The 22,050-nt window shown below is 43.4% G+C and overlaps 1 protein-coding gene and 1 long non-coding RNA gene across 5 annotated transcripts in view; both read right to left on the bottom strand.

Annotated features, from left to right (window-relative positions):
- SHISA9 (shisa family member 9) overlaps nucleotides 1-22,050 on the bottom strand; it is a 661,420-nt gene that overhangs the window by 226,382 nt on the left and 412,988 nt on the right. The gene's annotated exons all lie outside the window — the stretch shown is intronic.
- Nucleotides 18,888-22,050, bottom strand: part of LOC107984137 (uncharacterized) — a 71,517-nt gene continuing 68,354 nt past the window's right edge. Inside the window, exon 3 of the long non-coding RNA XR_001752087.2 lies at nucleotides 18,888-20,876. This is a non-coding gene — a long non-coding RNA (uncharacterized LOC107984137). The remainder of the gene's footprint in view (nucleotides 20,877-22,050) is intronic.

Here is a 22,050-nt window from a genome sequence, read left to right as displayed (position 1 = left end):
AAAGGCAGGTGTAGGAAACACATTTCTCATCTTTCAAATGAGTTATTTCCTTATCTTCTTGAGAAGGAGAGAATGTAACCTCCAACTATTTTAAGAAAGCAACACTGTAGGTTGCTACGTGCTTTCTACAAGGGAAATTCCTTTCTGGGATCAGAATGATTCACTAAGGGTTTTTTGCCTGGGACTAGCAAAATAATTAAGTAATTAAAATAATTCTATATTTCTGTCTTTGATATAAATTGCAGTGCACTGAACAAGGACTTGGATCCATAATAGGAACCTAATGTGGTTTTATCAAATTATTAATTGTTTTCTTGGATTCCTCTACGATCCAAGATCTTGACTGGCTATTTGGCACAGAGGTCACTGTTGTTAAACTCTTTTTAACACAGAGAAGGATGAGTATTATTTCTTCACTTTTGAATTGGAGAAAATTGGTTCTGGTGAGGTTCAATGACATGCCTGCTTGCTCCTGGACAGGTCTGAGCAGAGTGACCACGTGACCTTTCCACTAGCTCCTGGGAGACGGGAAACCACGGGACTTCTGATGTGAGGAGGCACCACGCTGGACCCCATCCCTTCAGTATTTAACTATAATTAGTGAGAACTACCCATATGGTGACTGTTCTAGGGCCAGATGGGCGGTTGTCAGGCGGCACATGATCTTTGCTTCACTTTGAAGGAGATGTGAGTAATCCTGGGGATATTAATCCAACAAAGGCTGTATTTATCTTCATTCTTTGGTTGATAATATGTCTCCATTTCTTCTGTAGACACCAGGGGGTACAAGGCAGAAGCACCAAGATAGTCCTGCCCAGGTCCTAAGGAACCAGGATGCCTTCACTCTGTGATTCCTACTTGAGTCTCCGATCCCCCCCAAAATGGTCTTGGCCACCCTCAAAGACACAGAGCATCAAAGGCTCTACGGCTCATGGGATAACAGAGCCTGAGAGGTTGTCCAGGCAGTTTGACAGATGAGGAGACTGAGGCTCAATCAGGGAAAGTGTGTGACTGGTTCATCGAAACAAGTTAAGGATGGAGCTGAATGACAGTTGCATGACCTGTCTCTGATTTTATGTACGGAGCAGGAATGTCCCAAAAGAGAATTTTGCATCTTCTAAGACAGCATATTCCTTTTCATTCTCAACCGATGAAAAGTTATATGGGCACCTTTGTTTAAGGGACTATAGTCACCTTTAAAGGGGGGTAGGGGATAGATATTGAAAGCATATTTATGATGGAAGCGGAACCAGAAAAGCCATCAGGATTCAAGATAGTGCTAGAAACAACCTACTCCATCTATCTCTCTCTTCCTCTGCAAACTTTCTCCCTAATGATGGCTCTGTGTCTGTCACCTCTCAACTCCATTATCCACTTGCTCTCACCTAACTAATCCTCTTCTTATTTATGGGACACATCCAGAGAAAGCCGGTCTGACTAGGCCTGAAGATAGGGCTCAAGTTAATTGGCCAGCCTCCTCTGGGTTAGATGACCTCATGGGTCTTTGACCAGCCAATGGATGAATGACAGACAGAACCCTAATCCAACCAGAGGTGTCCCCCATGGGACTAATTTGGGAACTGGCTTTGCACATGGAAACAATTCACAGGAGGAAGGAAGCATGAAAAGTTACCAGAACCAAAGGTAGGAGTTACCTTGTCTCTAGAATATACAGGTTCCTAGCACATAAACTGGAAGTGGTGTGCCCTGCTCCAGGAGGCGTGGGTGGGTAACATTTGCTGAGCATTGATGTGGCAGGCTCCCTGGTAAACATTTTACAATCATGACCCTATTTCTCTCAATATGTAATGGGCAAATAAGAATTTATATTAGTTCATTTATTCTTTTTTTTTTTTTTTTTTGAGATGGAGTCTCGCTCTGTCACCCAGGCTGGAGTGCAGTGGTGTGATCTCAGCTCACTGCAACCTCTGCCTCCCAGGTTCAAGCGATTCTCCTGCCTCAGCCTCCCAAGTAGCTGGGATTACAGGCGCCCGCCACCACGCCTGGCTATTTTTTTGTATTTTGAGTAGAGACGGGGTTTCACCATGTTAGCCAGGATGGCCTCGATCTCCTGACCTTGTGATCCTCCCACCTCAGCCTCCCAAAGTGTTGGGACTACGGGCATGAGCCAACACACCCGGCCTTAGTTCATTTATTCTTCACAGTAAATCCAAGAGCTAGGGACTGCAACTTGCCCCAATTCTACAGAGGAGAAGAGTAAAGCTCGGAGACAGAAGAACCCTCTGCTAGCAGGACTCTAATTTCAAATCAAGAGCAGGTTGCTGTTTCTTCTCATAGTCAGCCACATGTGTTCATGAGGACAGCTTGTGTCCAGCACTGGCTCAAACTCCAGACATCTGCACCAATAACCACTAAGAGGTATGTTCTTCTCTTTAGAAGTGGTAGCAATGTGAAAATCCCAGAAAGGAGGAATCCAAACACAGGTTTTGTCAAGTAGTGATGATTGTCTGCCCCCAATGAGGAGAGAAAAGGGATCTGCTTTCTATTCTTGATATGAAATGAGATAGCATCGGTCTCAAAGTCCAAAGATCACCAAACCTCAGTTTTCTCATTTGAAAACTAGGGACATGGGCATGGATGGGGAAGTCAAATGGAATAAGATTCATGTGAAAACAAGGAAACACAATTAAAATGTTGATCCTTTTAGCTTCCGTGGCTGTAGTTACAACAGAGACAGTCTGGAGCTAGATGAAACAACCTTTCCTGAGAGCAAGGTCTTTGCTATCCTTTGTAACAAGGTTATGAAGTTTTAATGAGAAAGCATAAAGCAGAAATTATATCGGCAAGCAGGGGCACTGGAGAAATTCCCCCTCCCCAACTTCCCCCTCCCTTTTTGCTGCTAAGGGTAGGATGGTTGCCTTAAAACAGGGTAGTTTACGTTCCAGATATTTATGCAACAATTTTCCTTTTATTTCTAATGGTTTTTAGGACATCTCTACTGATCTCCTTCATTCAAACCTTTTAGTAGGTGAATGAAACCTGGATCATTATCTCTGCAAAGTTAGACAATTTATCCCTTCGAAAACATGATGTGGCTCTTGGCTCCAGGAAGTCTGAGATTGTTGGAAAATGTCCAGAGGACCTATTCACCCTGGATGCCATGAAATATGCATGACACCAAAACAGACAGCCATGAAATCCTCCCTCCCTCCTGGATATTGGGAGGGCAGTGTCTGGGATCCATACACATCTCAGTCAAATGTACACCCAAGGACGAGCTTGAATCATATCAATGATACCATTAGGGTGATACCCTGTACCCAAAACCACCCTTTACTCAAACCAGCCTCCTCTGCTCCAGATTGCCTGAAGAATCAGAAGAGGATTTGATTGCAGCTGGAAGGGCTCCAGGACCAAACTGGTCCTCCCATGTCCCTGGCTGTGGCTTTGTTTTCCTTCCTTTGAAAGAGAGAAGATGGAGTGTTTGACCCTTGTATGGATGTTCCAATTGCATCATGCACTGACAACTTCAACCCCATTCAAGGTGCAAAAGCTGCCCTGGAGAGAACCATTCCCTTTCCCCCTTCTCCAGTGAAGGGCAGCTCTCCTGGACCTCTGACTTCGACGGGCACGGCAGAGGACCCCTTGCTGAGAGAAGAAGTCTTGAAGGGCTGAATATTTTTAAAAGACAAAAGCAGAGTTCAAAAGAGGAATCAAAAGAGGACAGACCAGCTCCGGCAGCAGCTTAGCATACATCAGGAAGCCCCTGGAGTTGCTGGCAGCTGGACCACAGGGCCATGTAGCACCTCTGCCCCCAGATGGATGGAGAAGGCATGAGTAACATCAGGACAGAGTGCGCATATACTCAAAGGCAAACGCCTGATTATTTTATTGTGCCCCTAATAATCCTCTCACGTGAGGCTCCTGAGAGTCCTCCTGGGGTCACACCCTGTTGAATTTTTTTTTATTCCCCAGTTGTTCTTCTCTCTCTGGGGAAAACAGTGATTCTGGAGTCTCTGGGGGGATCAGAGGTCCTGTCTGAACAGTGCTGCTTCCTTGCTGTGCTGATGGAAGGATCTTTGTCCTTGTTTGGGGAAAAAACATCCTTTTAAATCCAATTTGAAGCTTCTTTTGGAAGACAAATGGATATTTGAGGTAGGATGGGGCCTCCTCTAGCCAATTAGAGTTATTGAGTCATTTCCCAGTGACGATCTCTCTCGCTTTCAGTGTTTTCTTGGCCCTGTGGTCTCTTCCCTGCCCTTTCAATATTTTTCCAACAAGAAATGGAGATTACTCTGTCAAGAGGCAGATGGGTCCACCCAGTCTTTCATGGGCCTGGGAAGGGTCCTTCATGACTTCCAAAAGGTTAAGACATTGGGTGAACAACTTGTCCTGATTTCCTGGTTCTAGCACTGAAAGTCTCACATCTTGAGAACTTCTGAGTTCCAGGAAAACCAGGACAACTTGTCATCCCAGAGATTTGTCCCTGCCTCTTCCAACAGGCCTGTCTTCTCCAGTATACCAGCAGAGGGCCTCTCTTTGTTTTTTGTTGTTGTTGTTGTTGTTTTTGTGTTTTTTTCCTGTGTCACCTTTTCTGCTTGAGATCTATCTCAAGTCATTTCTCTTGACTTCTGATCCCTCCTTATTTTACCTAAATATCTCCATCTAATTTCTAACCCAGCCAGGTTATTATGAGAGACCACTGGTCCAGGACCAAAGAGAGTACTTTCTGAACGGTATCAGGAAGGAGAAACGGAACATAAAGTCTGCCGAATGTGCACCGAGCACTGTGCCAGATACTGAACACATACCATGCAATCATCCCAACATGGGGTAAGTATTATTATGGTTTCCACTTTCCAGATAGGAAACCAAGGACTAGAGCGCTTAAGTGACTCATCAGAAGTCAAACTGCAAACAAATGGTGGCATTGGAATCAGAGTCCGGATCTTATCTGGAAAGGAGAAGTCATCCTTGAAGAGAAGTTTGGAATTACAGACAAGAAATTTTCCAAAATGTTGAAGCCAAGGAGGGGGATATTTGTGATGGAGGAGAGCAGATGAAGTAGCAAAGTGGGAACACTGAAATATATGCATTCTTCTTTAAAAAAAATTAACACACTCTATGGAACTTAAGTCATTTTGTAAGATTTGAAACATAAAAATGTATTATGTATAATGTGATTTGCTCATAAAATTATCATGTTTGGTATATTTAAAGACATGAGATCATAGAAAGAAGAAGAGTTTGGATAAATAGCTTTTTTTTTTTACAGAAAAATTAAAATGTTTTAAAAATCATATTAAAGAGGAGTTTTTAAAATGTTTCCATCAGACGTTCACAATTCTATTGGCAGCCATTAACTTTTTTTGTCCTATGTTAACCTTCAGGAACCCCCAGAACTGACCCTCCAGGGCTCCCCCACCTGCCTAGGAGATCAACTCTCACCATCACTCTCTATCCCCATGCCCTCTGCATTCCCTCTTTTTTTCTATTTATGGGACACTTCGTGGGTCTAGCACCATTGTTATGTCTGGTCCGTTCTCAAGTCCCAGCCTTTTATCCACCTCCTTACTCAATATCTATTACTTGGTTCTGACTCTTCATAATTAACTGCTTATGGAGTAGTTAGCATCTGTGGTTATTCAAGGTGGCAACTGGTCATCTCACTTAGCTAAGCTCTGAGATAGGCTGGGCGCTAGGATCACAGGGCTACCTCTTTAAGACTTTTAGAGGGATGAGGCCAGGGAGAATCTGTCTTACACACTGTACACCTGTACAGTGATACATTAGAGTTCCTGGCTTGATGAGTGGAGTATGGGCTAGATATCATTCCCCGCTGGCCTTTTGGTCAAGTGCCCATCCCTGCTGGCTCCCAATGAGGCCAAGGTTTTCAAAGGCCCTTCAGAGGAGTTTGGCCCAAAGACTGAAATTAACTTTGACACCCACAACAAGGGTTGCTTAAATTGTGGTGCAGCTATAAAATGGAATACTATGCAGCCATTAGAATATCAAGACAGAGCAATGTCTACTAAACACTGTACTATCTAAAGCAAACAGTAAGTGAGGAAAGCAAAATAAAAGAGCGTGGAAGTATGCACCATTAATACACAAAAGAAGGAGAAGTGGGATGATAGATGCCTATTTGCTTGTACATTCATAGAATATCTCTGGAACGCTATCCCAGAAACTACAACAGAGAGGTGACCTAGGGAACTAACAGTGAAGAGGAGGAGGGACTTAATTTTCACTGGATATCCTTTTATAGTACCTATTTTTAAATCATTGGCAGGTATTATCTTGTTATAGTTAACAAGATAGCTAAATATACAAATAGATACATGAAAATCTAAAAGCACTTTGATGCACTGTATGCATTTGATAAGTATGCTATACATTAATTAAATGAAAAAAATCCTGGTTGATCAAGTCACCCACTGCACAAAGGACAGCATGCACATAGTCGGGTGAAATGGAGATATCTGTCTCTGAAAACAGAAAGTCGATGAACTTGCTGCCTATCTGAATGTGCCACTGGAATGGCCCCTCGGCCATATAGTCATTCCCACAACAAACATTAACTGATAACTTACAATGTGTTAGCCCTGAGATGGACACTGTGCTGCAGAGATGAGTAAGCCATGGCTGATCCACCTGGATCTCACAATCGGTCGGGGAGGCAGACACTTGATATGTTTCCTACAATACAATATAATTAATGCTCAAGGCAAAGATACTGGGGGACGATTTATTGGATATCTGAGGAACTGCATGATTTCAGAGCTAAAACTATCCTTAAGAACCATCTAGTTCTAGCTCTTCATGAAAAGTCAAGAAATTGAACCCGAACAAACAACCCCAAATATCTTTCCAGGACGGACGCAACAATAAGCCATCATTTAGCTCAAGGTCTGCAGGTTGGCTAGGGGTGGGCTAGGAATTCACTGGCATGGCTCTACCTTTCTGCTGTTCTTTTCATCCAGCAGGTTGTCCTGGGCATGTTATTCTCCTAGCATGGAGGAGATGCAAGAGGGCAAAGGGAAACTCACAGGCCTGGGAAGGAGTAGTCTTGGAATTTTACATCACCTCAGCTTATTCTGTTGCCTAAAGAGAGTGACATAGCAGAACTCAAATTAGAGGAGTGGGAAGAAAATGAAAAGTCAACAAGGAAAATGATGTGGCTGGAGGGAGGGGTGAAGAATTAGGATCAACAATGCAACCTAGCACATGGATTTTAATCTGTATCCTTAACCCAGTAAGGCAGTGTCATTGTCTGAGGTAAATACCCAGGGTTCATCGTCTTGCCCCAAGAAGATGAGGATGCCAACACACACAAGGAGACAAGGAGTGAATTTAGGAGCGGAGGTTTAATAGAAGAAAGAGAAAGGAGAACAGCTCTCTCGCTTGCAAGAAAGAGGGGCGCCGGAAAGGAAAAACCAGCCTGCAGCAGACTGCTCCTGATTTTACAGGCAGGCTTGAGGAGGCTGTGTGTGATTTACTTAGCGAGCAGGGAAGGCTGGTCGCCCTACCCCAATCTTATTATGCAAATGGGGCCTTTGCCTGGCCAGCGTCATGTTGTCTTCTCCTTCCTGTACATGAGGTTTAGCAAAAAGAAGGGAAGATGGAGGCGCCATTTTTAACCTGCCTAGTCCCAGGCAGCCATTTTCTACTTGCACAACTGCCGGCATTCAACGGTGCAAGCTTCCAGCTCGCTTGTCTATGTCTGCAGCTCAATTTTACAGGGTGCTCCTTGTTAGGGAAAAAAAATGATTTGGGGGCTGCTTTTCATTGAAAGGAAAATGTTACTGAGGACTTCTGTATTCTCACTATCTGCCTAAATAATTTCTTCTTAACTCCTATATCACCAGTGCAGTAGGCTGCCTCTTATGAAAAATGTTGCTAGGCTGGGTATGGTGGCTCACACCTGTAATCCCAGCACTTTGGGAAGCTGAGGCGGGTGGATCGCCCGAGGTCAGGGGTACAAGACCAGCCTGGCCAACGTGGCAAAATCACGTCTCTGATAAAAATACAATATATATGTGTGTGTGTGTGTGTGTGTGTGTGTGTGTGTGTGTGTGTGTGTATACACATATATTTAGCCAGGCGTGGTGGTGGGCACCTGTAATTCTAGCTACTCAGAAGGCTGAGGCAGGAGAATCATTTGAACCTGGGAGGCAGAGGTGGCAGTGAGCCAAGATCACGCCATTGCATTCCAGCCTGGGTGACAAGAGTAAAATTCCTTAAAAAAAAAAAAAAAGGAAAAAGAGAAGAAAAAGGAAAAGAAAAATGTTGCTAACATGGGGAGGTTCAAACCCCCTGGTGGGTAGCTGAATCTGCAGACCTTGCACTTGTAATCACACTGGTGTTGTCCAGGGCGAAAATAGACTCTAACTAGAAACAGACTCTTACTAGAGAGCTGGCATTTAGGAGTTATGTTTTCTTCCCTTTCTAATCTACTCCAGTCTGCCTAAGATTCTGTAGAAGTGCACAGGGGCTAGAAGAAGTGATGGTGAGAGGCCCCTGCTCGAGGCCGAGTTTGAAATTAAGAGGAGGGGGAATGGGAAATATCTGTATTTAGGGGAGTGGGAGGGGCAGTTGCTCTCCCTTTGCATGCATTTCAAAAACAGATTTCTTGCGCAAAGCTAATAAATGCGCATGATGTTGTTATGAGTACGATGAAAGATTTTAGGTGACACAAGTATTAAAGTACAACCTTGGCGGGGCACAGTGGCTCACACCTGTAATCCTAGCACTTTGGGAGGCCGAAGTGGGTGGATCACTCCAGGTCAGGAGTGCAAGGCCAGCCTGGCCAACATGGAGAAACCCTGTCTCTACTAAAAAAATACAAAAATTAGCCAGGCGTGGTGGCAGGGGCCAGTAATCCCAACTACTTGGGAGGCTGAGGCACGAGAATCACTTGAACTCGGGAGGCGGAGGTTTCAGTGAGTAGAGATCGTGCCACTGCACTCCTGCCAGGGCAACAAAGCAAGACCCTGTCTCAAAAAAAAAGTGCAATCTTGAGGCTCAAAGAAAGGCAAGAGCTATGCCTTTTCTTTTTTGAGACAGAGTCTTGCCCTGTCACCCAGGCTGGAGTGCAGCAGCTCGATCTCAGCTCACTGCAACCTCTGCCTCCTGGGTTCAAGTGATTCTCCTGCCTCAGTCTCCCGAGTGTCTGGGATTACAGGTGCACAACACCACAGCCACCTAATTTTTGTATTTTTAGTAGAGATGGAGTTTCACCATATTGGTCAGGCTGGTCTCGAACTCTTGACCTCAGGTGATCCACCTGCCTCGGCCTCCCAAAGTGCTGGGATTATAGGCATGAGACACCGCACGTGGCTATGCCTTTTCATGAGCTTGCTAATCTACTAACTAAAAAGTACAGGGTCCACCCCCAAAAGACCCAACTCATGCCAGGTCATGGCTCTCGGCTCCCTTCCTCCCAGGCAAGGACATGCTTACACTTCTAGTGCAGCGGGCAGGGAGAAAGGCTGGTAGGACTCTGGCTTGGTACGTTAAAAAAGTACCAGGAATGCGTCTTTCACATAGAGTAATCATGTTCAGTGTGTCCTGAAGGCAAGACTTTTAAAAATTGGTAAACACAATGCCAAGAACTGAAATAACTAGTATCACACTGTTCAACACCTAAACTGTGTACATTATTGACGGCAAAGAAGCAAATTTGGCCAGTGGGTGTTGAGGAGGTTGTTTTCAGGATAACTAGATTGCAAAGACATTCTGAAATGATTCACTGAGTTACTGATAATAAGGCACAGAGAGGAGAGAAACAAAAAATAAAAGTAGGTATTCATAAGTGGAACATGTATTATGTGCTGGGTATCTCAACCATATCACTTTTCACACCACCAGAATACATAGGGACAGGCACATGATATAATAACAGCCATTCAGTATCTTTCCTGGAACTTTGACTTTTTTTTTCTTTCTTTTTCTGAGAAGGCGCCTTGCTTCATCTCCCACGCTGGAGTGCAGTGGCACAATCTCAGCTCACTGCAACCTCCAACTCCCGCGTTCAAGCAATTCTCCTGCCTCAGCCTCCCCAGTAGCTGGGATTACAGGCATGCGACACTACGCCCAGCTAAGTTTTGTAGGTTTAGTAGAGATGAGGTTTCACCATGTTGGCCAGGCTGGTCTCGAACTCCTGGCCTCAAGTGATCCACCTACCTCATCCTCCCAAAGTGCTGGGATTACAACCATGAGCCACTGCACCCGGTGGGGACTTTGACTCTTGAAAGAAGTGATGCAAGGAGACTGGAAACCACTGACCTTCATTTATTCCAGTGTTGGTGCCCAAGTAAGGCCACTATGATAGTTACTTTTACGTGTCAACTTATCTGTACTACACAGTGCCCAAATATTGTCAACATTATTCTTAGTGGGCTCATGAGGATGCTTCTAGTTATCATTAATATTTGAATAGGTAGACTGAGTAAAACAGATTGTCTTCCCTACGGTGGGTGGGCCTGAATAGGGGAAAGGCAGGGTAAGAGAGAATTTTCTCTCTCTGTCTGATTATTTTAAGCCGGGACATTTCTCTCTTTCTGCATTTGGACAGCATCTTTTTTTTCTTTCTTTTTTTTTTTTTAATTTGACTTTAAGTTCTGGGATACATGTGCAGAACGTGCAGGTTTGTTACATAGGTATACATGTTCCATGGTGGTTTGCTGCACCCATCGACCCGTCATCTAGGTTTCAAGCCCCTCATGCATTAGGTATTTGTCCTAATGCTCTCCCTCCCCTATACCCATACCCCACCGAGAGGCCCTGGTGTGTGATGTTCCCCTCCCTGTGTCCATGTGTTCTCACTGTTTACCCCCACTTATGAGTGAGAACATACAGTGTTTTGTTTTCTGTTCCTGTGTTATTTTGCTGAGAATGATGGTTTCTAGCCTCATCCATGGCCCTGCAAAGGACATGAACTCATTCCTTTTATGGCTGCATAGTGTTCCATGGCGTAAGGATTGCATCTTAGATTATCAACTCTCCTAGTCGTCAGGGCTTTGGACTCAGACTGCAACTACACCACTGGCTGTCCTAGGTGTCCCTCCTGCAGACGGCAGATTGTGCAACTTCTCAGTCGGCATAACTGCATGAACCAGTTTCTATAGTATGTATAAATACATGCTCTAACCCCAAAATAATATTCTAAGGCCCTCGACCAACTAAATGGATCCCATCTTGGCCAAAGGAATCCTAAAGAAACCTGAAAAACTAGTTCAGGCCATGATGGGAAGGTGGGGTTAGACATGCCTCATAATACCTTCCTCCCTTTGGAGTTTAGGCACAACTGGCCAGCATTAACATGAAAAGAGAGATCTTAAGACTGACAAAACAAGCTGCTTGTAGCAATATGTTATCAAATTGCAATCTGACTCTGTCATGACATGACACACGACAGGTAGCAGGTGAAGTATTTTACCTCAAAATATATTTATTTGATATATTTTGAAATGGCTCTGAAAGCCATCTCTTCTGGGGGAAAATTTGCATTCTGTAGAGAATCTCCTTCCCTTACTGGGTCCTTTCCAGAGAGTCTGACACATTTTAAGTACTGATAAGGGACATTTACCATCTATTCTCTCTGAAGTCTGCTATGTAGAGGCTTTATTTACATGATAAGAAACTTGGCTTCCCCAATCCCGCTTATCTAAACTCAAGCATTTCTTTATGCTGAATTCAACTCTTCAGGCAGAGCTTAACTCTTTCAACAATATCCAATCAGGAAAACTTTGAATCCACCTATGGCCTGGAAGCCCCCGCTTTGAGATATCCTGCCTTCTGAGGCTGAACTAATGTATACTTTCCACATATTGATTTATGTCTTTGCCTGTAACTTCTGTCTCCCCAAACTATAGAAAACCAAGCTGTAATACAATCACTTCAGGCACATGTTCTCAGAACCTCCTGAGGGTGTGTCACGGGCTATGGTCCTTAATCTTGACAACATAAAAATCTAAACTGATTCAGATACTGCCTCAGATACTTTTTGGTTTACAATTCTATTGGTTCTATTTCTTTGGAGAACCCTGACTCACATAATCGTCAAGAGGTTTGTGCTACCAAGGCCATTTGAGGATGCCTAGATTGAAAAAAACAACCCCTGCAGCTCATAGAAGTGAAATTACTTAACTAATATTACATAGCAAGTGAGTAGTAGAGCTAGGATTTGAACCACTCTGCCTTAATCTAGAGCTTGTGCTCTTTCCCCATTTTTCTTTGTGGTTGCCAATCAGAAAGTGGCAGAATAGATGCTAGAAACTGGGCCAGGATCCTGGAGGTAACTATTTACCAACTCTTGAGCTACAGAAACTCCCAGAGCTAGGTCCTGGCTCAGTCTAGAGCAAAGATACTGCTAAGAGGTCACGAAAGGGTAATCAATTCTGATTCAGAGCTGCATTAATCCATTCTGCGTTCTATAAAGGAATACCTGAGGCTGGGTAATTCATAAAGAAAAGGGGTTTATTTTGCCTTACAGTTCTGCAGACTGTACAAGAAGTGTAGCACCAGCATCTGCTTCTGGTGAGGCCTTAGGAAGCTTGCAATCATTGCAGAAGGCAAAGGGGGAGCAGATACATCGATGGCACGAGAGGGAGCAAGAGAGAGAGGAAGGGGTGCCAGGCTCCTTTAAACACCCAGCTCTTACATGAACTAATAGAGTGAGAACTCATGACCACAAGGACAGCCTCAAGTCATTCATGAGGAATCTGCCCCCATGACCCAAACACCTCCCACTAGACCCACCTCCAACACTGGGGATTGATATGGTTAGGCTCTGTGTCCCCACCCAAATCTCATCTTGAATTGTAATCCCCAGGTGTCGAGAGAGAGACCTGGTGGGAGGTGACTGGATCTTGGAGGCAGTTTCCCCTATGCTGTTCTCATAATAGTGAGTGAATTCTCACAAGATCTGATGGTTTTATAAGGGGCTCTTCCCCCCTTTGCTCGACACTTCTTCCTGCCACCTTGTGAGGAAGTTACCTTGTTTCCCTTTTGCCTTCCACCATGATTGTACATTTCCTGAGGCCTCCCCAGGCGTGCGGAACTGTGAGTCAACTAAACCTCTTTTCTTTATAGATGACACAGTCTCAAGCAGTTCTTTATAGTAGTGTGAGAAAGGATTAATACAGGGATATTTCAATACGAGTCTTGGAGAGGACAAACAGCCAAACATCCAAACTATATCGCATATAAATATGAGATTTGAAGGGGGACAAACATCCAAACTATATTTAACCATGTCAAGCGCCAAACTTGTGGACTTCCACTCAATGACTGAGGATTCTGTCACTTAAAAGACATGGGAGATAAAATGCATCTGTTGACTCAACTCCAGGTACAAGCTTTGTGAGAGTGCATTGCACTCTGACTGCTGGCCATGAGACCAAGCACAATATTTCATTACCAAAAGGATGTTTGGTGGAGACGGAATAATTATAAGGAGCACCAGCATTCACCAAATACCTATTTTGTACTAGGCACTACTATAAATATTTTCCATAAATTACCTCCTTTAATTGTCTTACCAATATCAACATTATCACCCCCATTTTTGAAAGAAGAAAGTCAAAGTTAACTAACATTGAGCTGGGGGTTGAACCTAAACAACCTGACTCTTAAGCAGACATAGCAGGAAGATTCTGGGACTCTGAGATTACTGATCTATCAGGAAATCTCTGCAGTATTCCTACTTCTCACAGTTGTGGTGCAGGTACTGGACGTGACATGAATCCAGACACAGTATGACTGGTAGCCTCTTAGATTTTATTGGGTGGTAGTATCTCCCACAACCATAATGTGGGAGTTAAACAACTTTACGGGCCAGGTTTGATCTAGAAGAAGAAGATTTCACAAAGATTTTATAGCTTTAACTTTACAATAATGTCTCAAGCTTTCCTCATCCCCACCCAATTTCATCCCTTCTCTAAACACAACTTTGCAACCACCCACATCCCCAGGATGGATGGGGATGCGAGAGTGGGTGAGGGAAGCGCATCTGCAGAGACAGCTGTTGCTATTTCCTTTTTCTCTGGCCTGAGGTGCTTTGTTTTAGCCTTTCACTTTCCAAATAGGCCTTGACTAGCCTCCTTAGCACCCCTGCTAACCTTCAAAACTCACACAGTCTGGGTTTCTATGCAAAAGAGAAGAAAACAGACATTCCCCACTTATCCACCTACAGCCTTGTTTTCAGAGGGCTCTAACTGGCTCTGAGCCTGGAGCCATATTCAGCTAGCTGAATTAACTGATAAGAGAGGAAAGGATGAGAAGAGAGGAAAGGATGAGAAACCATTATGCAGATGTCTGGCTACTCAGGGCCCTCCTGGCTCCAGAGGCCTTGGCAGCTTTAGGGAAAGGCTGTAGATTTGAAGTTCAGTCTGTGCTCATTTCCAATTATTTTTTCCTATTAGATCACTCTAGGATCATTACTATTATTCTTCAACACTGGCTGATTTGCTGATCTGGTTGGCTGAACTCAGTTAAGGCACTCAGCTCCTTCGAGGCCATTTCTGTATTTGTAAAATAGAGATAATATACTACGTAGCTGGCAATATTATTATGAGAATTAAAGAAGAGAATAGTTGCAATGCATTTAATGTAATTAGTAAGACATATACAATATGTAGACATATGAAATATATAATCACAATTTTATTGTGTCGTTTAGTGAGCACTTGTTGAGCACCTATTATATGTCAGGTATTGTGTCAGGTACTTTAAAAAATATGTTGTTTAATGATCACAAATCCATAAGACATAATTCCTATTATCCCCATTTCACAGTTAGTGAATTCCAAAAGGCTAAGTGTTTGTTCAAAGATCACATTAGATATTAAGTGGCAGAGATTATTATTGAGATTATTTTATTATTATGATTGTCATTTGGAGTCCAACTATCTAACAATGGACAAATCCCATCTATATATTGCACACACAGCCATACACCGACACACCTGGAGATTATCAGACAGGCACACCTGAACACACAAGGAAAAAGGAAACATGTACAATATGCAACACATAAACTCATTAAGTTATAGAATTTCCCTCAGCCTTTACAATCAGTGTGTTCCTCTCCTTTGTACTATTCCCTTAAGTGTTCAACTAATCTGATGGATTAATGGATGTAGGATGCTAATAATGGCCTTATTTATTACAATACCTTCCCAAGGGTGGCTGTATTTTAACAGATGACTTCTGGACAGCAGAATGCAAAAGCTGCCAGAATTATTTGCTCTTAGGGGAATTTCAGGCCTATGGCAGGAAGATGAAAGAGAGACTCCCAGAGAAAAATCATTCATTCGTTCATTCATTCATTTATTGACATGCTATTTGTCACCGGCTCTGTGTTCTATGCTATAAAAGACTCTGGAGAGAAAGTCATACTGGGACATGATCTCTGACCTCACAGATACTAGAGTCTGCTAGTGTAACATACCTTCCTATTGCCACCTGTAGATGGATGGATCTGGCAACAATATGGGAATCGTGGTTGCATTTAGAAACTTCATTGTGGATTTCCAGAATTATGAAGATGTGCCGTCCAATGTAGTAACCATTAGCCACATGGGCTACTTACATTTGAATCTAAATGTATTAAAATTTAGATAAAGTCAAAAATTTAGTTCCTTGGTGGCACTGGCCACATTTCAAGGCTCAATACCTTCATCTGGTTAACGGCTACCAAGTTGGCAGACACAAGGTTTACAGCATTGCAGACAGTTCCATTGAACAACACCAGACTAGTAGATCAAAGAATGAAGATAGTTTAGAGACACTCAGATTCTAACCTTCTTGTTGTATAAATGGTGACAGGGAGGTCTAGAGGGGGGTGGCCACAGAATGAGTCCATATTTAGTCCAGCTGTGAAGAGGAAACTTTCAGTGCTTTTGCCAAATAATACCCTTGTCCCCCAACCCTGTCCTACCCAGCTTGTCAGCTTCCCTTCACAAGCAAAGGGTAAGAAGACATTGATTTCATATTTGACATGGCTCTGCATGTTCCAGGGGTAAGACTTGATCTCTGGAAGAAGCCATTGTCCAGAGGAGACCCTACTATCTCTACAGGAGGCTGTATTCATCAGCAACTACAACAACAAAAACAAAACAGCACCTTTCCTTTATGTGTGGCTCTTGGTACAGTGCTGAGAACATGGCATGGATTATCTTCTTTAAGCTTCCCTAGCACCCAAAGAGTTTAACATTATTACAACAGTTAAGGAAGCCATGGTTTAGAAAGGTGAGATAACTTGCTCAAGGTCACATACCTACAAAGAGAGAAACCTGAATTGGAACTTGCTGGGTTGCTTGACCTCTGAGCCTATTGCTGTTTTGCCTACTTTTTTTTTTTTTTTTTTTTTTTTTTTTGAGACAGAGTCTCGCTCTGTCACCCAGGCTGGAGTGCAGTGGCATGCGATCTTGGCTCCGTGCAGCCTCTGCCTCCTGGGTTCAAGCGATTCTCCTGCCTCAGCCTCCTGAGTAGCTGGGACTACAGGTGCATGCCACCACGCCAGGCTAATTTTTGTATTTTCAGTAGAGACGGGGTTTCACCATGTTGGCCAGGATGGTCTCGATCTCCTGACCTCGTGATCTGCCCGCTTCAGCCTCCCAAAGTGCTTGGATTACGGGTGCGAGCCACCGTGCCCGGCTGTTTTGCCTACTTTCTAACCTAACATTTCATTTTAAAGTTTCATCTTAACAGGCTAAGAAATGATTATAATTGCAGATTTTCCTTTTTCCTGGCCTGGCTTCAAATTCAAATATCAAAACAAATGTAAAACCAAAGTTTAAATAAGAACCATCCCCGCTGGAAAAGCCACATGCGTTCTGTTCCTTGGCCTTGTTTTTTTTTTTTTTTTAACAGCTCTGTGCACATCTCTGCACTGTACACCCTGGAAAGGCCCCTGTGGGACCCAGAAGGGGCCACAGCTGAGAGACCATTCCCAGGGCTCCTCTGCAAGCTCAGGACTGTGCATCATGGATGGAAAGGAGGGATTACATCAGATTCTGAGTAACCCCCCTGCTCCCCACGCACACTCCCATCCCAGGATGGCAGAGAGGGAGCAACAAAAGGGAGGAGGCTCACTTGAAGCTGGGCTCTTTCCAGCCACAGCCTTGGAGGTACCATTTCAAATCTATGTCAAGCAGGGGGAAAGAGCCAGCTTTATTCTTGTGCGATAAAACATTATCGTCTCTTATTCATGTAGGGTTTACCTCGTAGTGTCACTTTGACGACTAATATATTTGTTTGACAGTTCTTCCAACGGGTCTTCTAGTGCAGGATAAACGTGGTAGGCCGAAATGATTTCTCGCCAAGCGGTTGAGATCATTTTGTAAAAATAAATGTGGTTGGCCAGGTGTGGTGGCTCACACCTGTAATCCCAGCACTTTGGGTCGCCTGAGGCAGGTGGATCACTTGAGGTCAGGAGTTCGAGACCAGCCTGGCCAATACGGTGAAACCCCATCTCTACTAAAAATACAAAAATTAGCCAGTGCCTTGTGGCATGAGCCTGTAGTCCCAGCTACTCGGGAGGCTGAGGCAGGAGAATCACTTGAACCTGGAAAACGGTGGTTGCAGTGGGCGGAGATCTCACCACTGCTCTCCATCCAGCCTAGGCGACAGAGTGAGACTCTCTCAAATAAAATAAAATGAAATAAAAGTAGTGAAATGAGTCTGTGGGGACCACCTGAGTCCAAATGGGAGCAAAAGACTGAGAAGGTACACTTGGACCCACATGGTGGAGAGCTCTGAGCACCAGCTAAGGAATTCAGACTTGATTTAGAAAGCAATAAGGATATTTGAAGTGTGTTTTGTAGTTTCTTTTGTTTTTAGCCTAAGATTGCCATGATCCAGGTTTATTTGATCATTTTGCAAATGTAAAGCACCTTCTATGTGTCAGGTACTCTTCTAGATCCTGAGAATGCAATGGTGAACCAGACAGAGACAGCTAGTTTCTCTTGGAGCTTATGTTGATCCACCACAGTGGTCCTCAGCTGGGAGCAACATTGCACCCCAAGGCACATTTAGAAACGTCTGGAGGGCCAGGCACGGTGGCTCCCAAATCCCAGCACTTTGGGAGACAGAGGTGGGCAGATCACCTGAGGTCAAGAGTTTGAGACCAGCCTGGCCGATATGGTGAAACTCTGTCTCTACTAAAACCACAAAATTAGATGGGAGGGGTGGCACACACCTGTACTTCCAGCTACTCAGTCAGGATGCTAAGGCAGAAGAATCACTTGAACCCAGGAGGTGGAGGTTGCAGTGAGCCGAGATCGTGCCATTGCACTCCAGCCTGGGCAACAGAGCGAGACTCTGTCTCAAAAAGAAAAAAAAAAATGGAGGTATTTTTGGTTTTTAAAACTAAAGGGAAGGGTATTTGCTACTGGCATCTAGAAGTAGAGACCAGGGATGTTCTAAACATCCTACAATGCACAGGATGGCTCCTCCCAACAAAGAATTGATAAAATGTCAATAGTATGAGGTTGGGAAACCTAGTTTATTCCTTAAGTTTATGACCTATTGTTTACAACTTAATAGGTTTCTGACCTATTAAGTCATAAATTCATGAATGATACAGACCTTATCTCCTTGCATATAGATTATAGACATTGCCACAGTGTTGGGCACAGACTATGTACATAGTGGATCAAAAAAAAAAAAACAAGGCATTTGAAGGATGACTATGGAAATGATCCATTTATATACCAATGTCAGATATTACATATTTTCAACAGAAAATTTGAGACCTGAGGGTTTTCACTTCCAAGTGGTAGCTCAAAATCAAACATGAGGCATTTCCAATCTTAGGGACTTTAGATACTTCTGGAAAAAAAATCATGAAGTTGTAGGCATCAGAAAGTTTCTGTGACAAAGAGCTGTAACTTTCAAAGTTTGACACATGAAGGGACAGATGGTTGCCAACATTTATTAAGCACTTGCTGTGTACATGGTGTGAAGCATCATCTCCTACATCCTCCAAGCCCTGTGAGGTAGGGCTGTTGTGATCTCCATTCTACAGAGGCAGGGACTGAGGTGCATAGGGGTTAGGTTCCCAGGGTCACCCAGAGGGTAGGCAGAGCTGGCTGTGCAAGAAGGCAGTTTGAATGAATGGGTGCAGCATACAAGCATGGCACATGTATACATATGTAACAAACCTGCATGTTGTGCACATGTACCCTAAAACTTAAAGTATAATAATAATAAAATTTAAAAAAAGAAGGCAGTTTGAACCCAAAGCCTGAACTCTTTGCCTAAATTTCCTCTTGAAGAACTCCCTGCTGAGTTTACACTTCCCCTGAGAATCCTCAACGGGGTTGTCTGTCCTGAAATGTTGACTCTTGCATTTTGTGACACGACTTTAGGAAAATTAATCAGAATTGGCTAATGCAGATTCTTACAAGGAGAGGTTTGAAGACTTCTTGGCATCCAGACTCCTGGCGTTGCCCATGTCCCACTCTCTGGTCCATTCTGCAAGCTGCCCTTTTTCTCCCAACAAGCTCCCCGTCTGCTATTGATAGTTTCTGCTGTTCCCAACCAGAGAGTTTTGAAAAGATTCAAGGAGGAAGTTCTGACCTCTGGGGCTCTACTGGCCTCTGGAAGCAGCTAGGGACTCAGTCTGGGACAGGGAAGCTGTAATGTGTGAAGCCTGAAGTTCAGCTGAGGAAAGGGAGAGAAGGAACACGAAGATACCACCAGGCTTCCTTCCTTAAATGCACAGAGAACAGGTGACTTGCAGGTTGCAGGAGGTGCATGGGCTTGCATCAGGCTGCCCAGGTTTAAATTTTGGCCCTTTCTTACTGACTGTTTAACTTTGAACAAGTTATCTAATATCTCTGAACCACTTTCCTATTCTTGAAGGAGGTGTATATTTATGCCTGCTTTGTGGAGTCAATGGGAGGATCAAATGAGCTAACACTATATTGAATTACTCTTCAGACACATGTTTACCACATTTTATCATCTCTGGAATTGGAATGTGACTTACAATTGAGGGTATATCCTAGGTTATTGGATGGAGGGTTTTTTTTCTTAGTGGTACATGAAACAAAAGTGAAAGTTATTGAAGTCATTTTAGATTCGGTGATATAGTATGACTGGAACATGGTACTGGCTTAAAATATCAGGAATGATGGTTTCCATTTTTACTGCCACCTTGTAGCACATCAGAATTCCATGATTGTGGGCTCAAAGTAGATCCCTCATGGGTTTGCGTCTGACCTGAAGGTGCATTTGAGCACTTGGACTCAATAAAGAACAAGGAGAGGTCACATTCTGTTCTCGCTTCCTGGGGAAGGAGGTCAGCAGAAACCTACACACAGAATCCCCTAGACAGAAGGAAATAATGAAACTCCAGTTGCAATAAATCACTCTGGACACGTTCTCTGTGGTTGCAGGAAACTTTTGCAATAGTTGTTTCTTCTCTGCTCCACAATTTCCAACACAAAGCCACTGACCCCTCCACCCTCGCTTCCCAGGCTACCAGCAAGCCATCCAGACTGTGGGTAGCAACCAGGGACTCAGTGTTGAGTCATCGCTCCATGCCCAGGCTCTGCAGTCCCTGTGATATGCCCTTTCCAAATGCCATCCTTCATCTTTAGCTTGGGTACAACACTGGGCATCTGAAGCTCTCTCTCTTTTTTTTTTTAATTGTAATGACACTTTCTATCAGATGTTATTTACTCTAACCTACAAATGCAATATGTAGTGAGCAACAGTTCATCTGGGCAATTTTATCCATATTCACTTATGCTAAATAGTTGACCAGGGAGAGGGTAAACAGCATGATGATTAAGCAAGCAAGTGATGGCTTCTACCCGCCTGGGTTCATGTTTTCACTCTTAAATGTGTGACCCTCCTCCATAGGAGAGCTATCCATCCACTTCCAGTTTCAGTGATCTCATCTGTAAAACAAGAATAATAATAGCTAACTATATTATGCACCAGGCACTCCTCCATGCAATTTACATACAGTAATTTATTTAATTCTCACTACCATCCTTGAGGTAGGTATCCTATTAACATCCCATTTTACAGATGAGAAAATAAAGGTGCTTTGAGAAGTTACATAACTTTCCTAATTACACAGCTAGACAATGGAAGTCTGTTTGTCTCAAGTCCATGCTCTTAGCTACACTTCATGTTGTAGCCCCAACCTGAGAGAAATCCCTCCCTAACTGGAAGGACCACAAGAAGATTAAACGAGGTAATGAATATGGGGCATAAACCTCTGTGCTAAGCTTTATAAACATACTAAAGATTGGGTACTGTAGTGACAGCTTCCTCTTACTAAGACCCTGTCATGTGCCACACACTATGCTACGTCCTTTGACATACAAGCTCTCTTGTTCTCACAATTACTCTAGAAAGTAAGGATTATTGTTATGTGTCTCCTTTTAAAGACAGGGAGGTAGGTTCAGAGAAATTTCTTCTTTACAAATCACTGTGTACCAGTCAGCATTGCAGGTGCTATGCTACAAGTGATTTTCCCCCAAGGTACACAATAAATGAGTGGCCAGGTCTGCCGGACTCCAAAGCCCATGGTCTCTTTGCTGCATCTGAGATGCCAACAGCAGGTTCTATTTGACAAGGGTGCACACACAGATCATTTCAAGGGAACCAAACGGGACTGGGATCCTGTTGTGTGGATCATGATGACTAAGAATAAGGAGCTGTGGTAAGAACACTTAACAGAAGATCTACCCTCTTAACAAATTGTTGAGAGCATAATACAGTATTGTCAACTACAGGTTCTATATTGTAGAGCAGATCTGTAGAGAGTATTCATCCTGCATAATTGAAAATTTATGCCAATTGAACAACTCCCCATTTCCTTTCCCTCTAGGCCCTGCTAATCACCATTCTATTCTCTGCTTCTATAAATTTGACTATGTTAAATTACGTATATGAATATTCTCACCACAAAGAAAAAAAAGAGAAAAAGGACACAAGGAAACTTTTGGAACTGATATGATGGATGTATCTATGATGTTGATTGTGGCGATGGGTTCACAGATGTGTGCATATGTCCAAACTCATCAAACTGTATTCATTAAATGTATGCACGTTTTTTTTTGG

The sequence above is a fragment of the Homo sapiens genome, chromosome 16 (assembly GCF_000001405.40).
Source record: "Homo sapiens chromosome 16, GRCh38.p14 Primary Assembly".
Taxonomy (NCBI): domain Eukaryota; kingdom Metazoa; phylum Chordata; class Mammalia; order Primates; family Hominidae; genus Homo; species Homo sapiens.
This window is presented reverse-complemented; position numbering and strand designations above follow the sequence as displayed.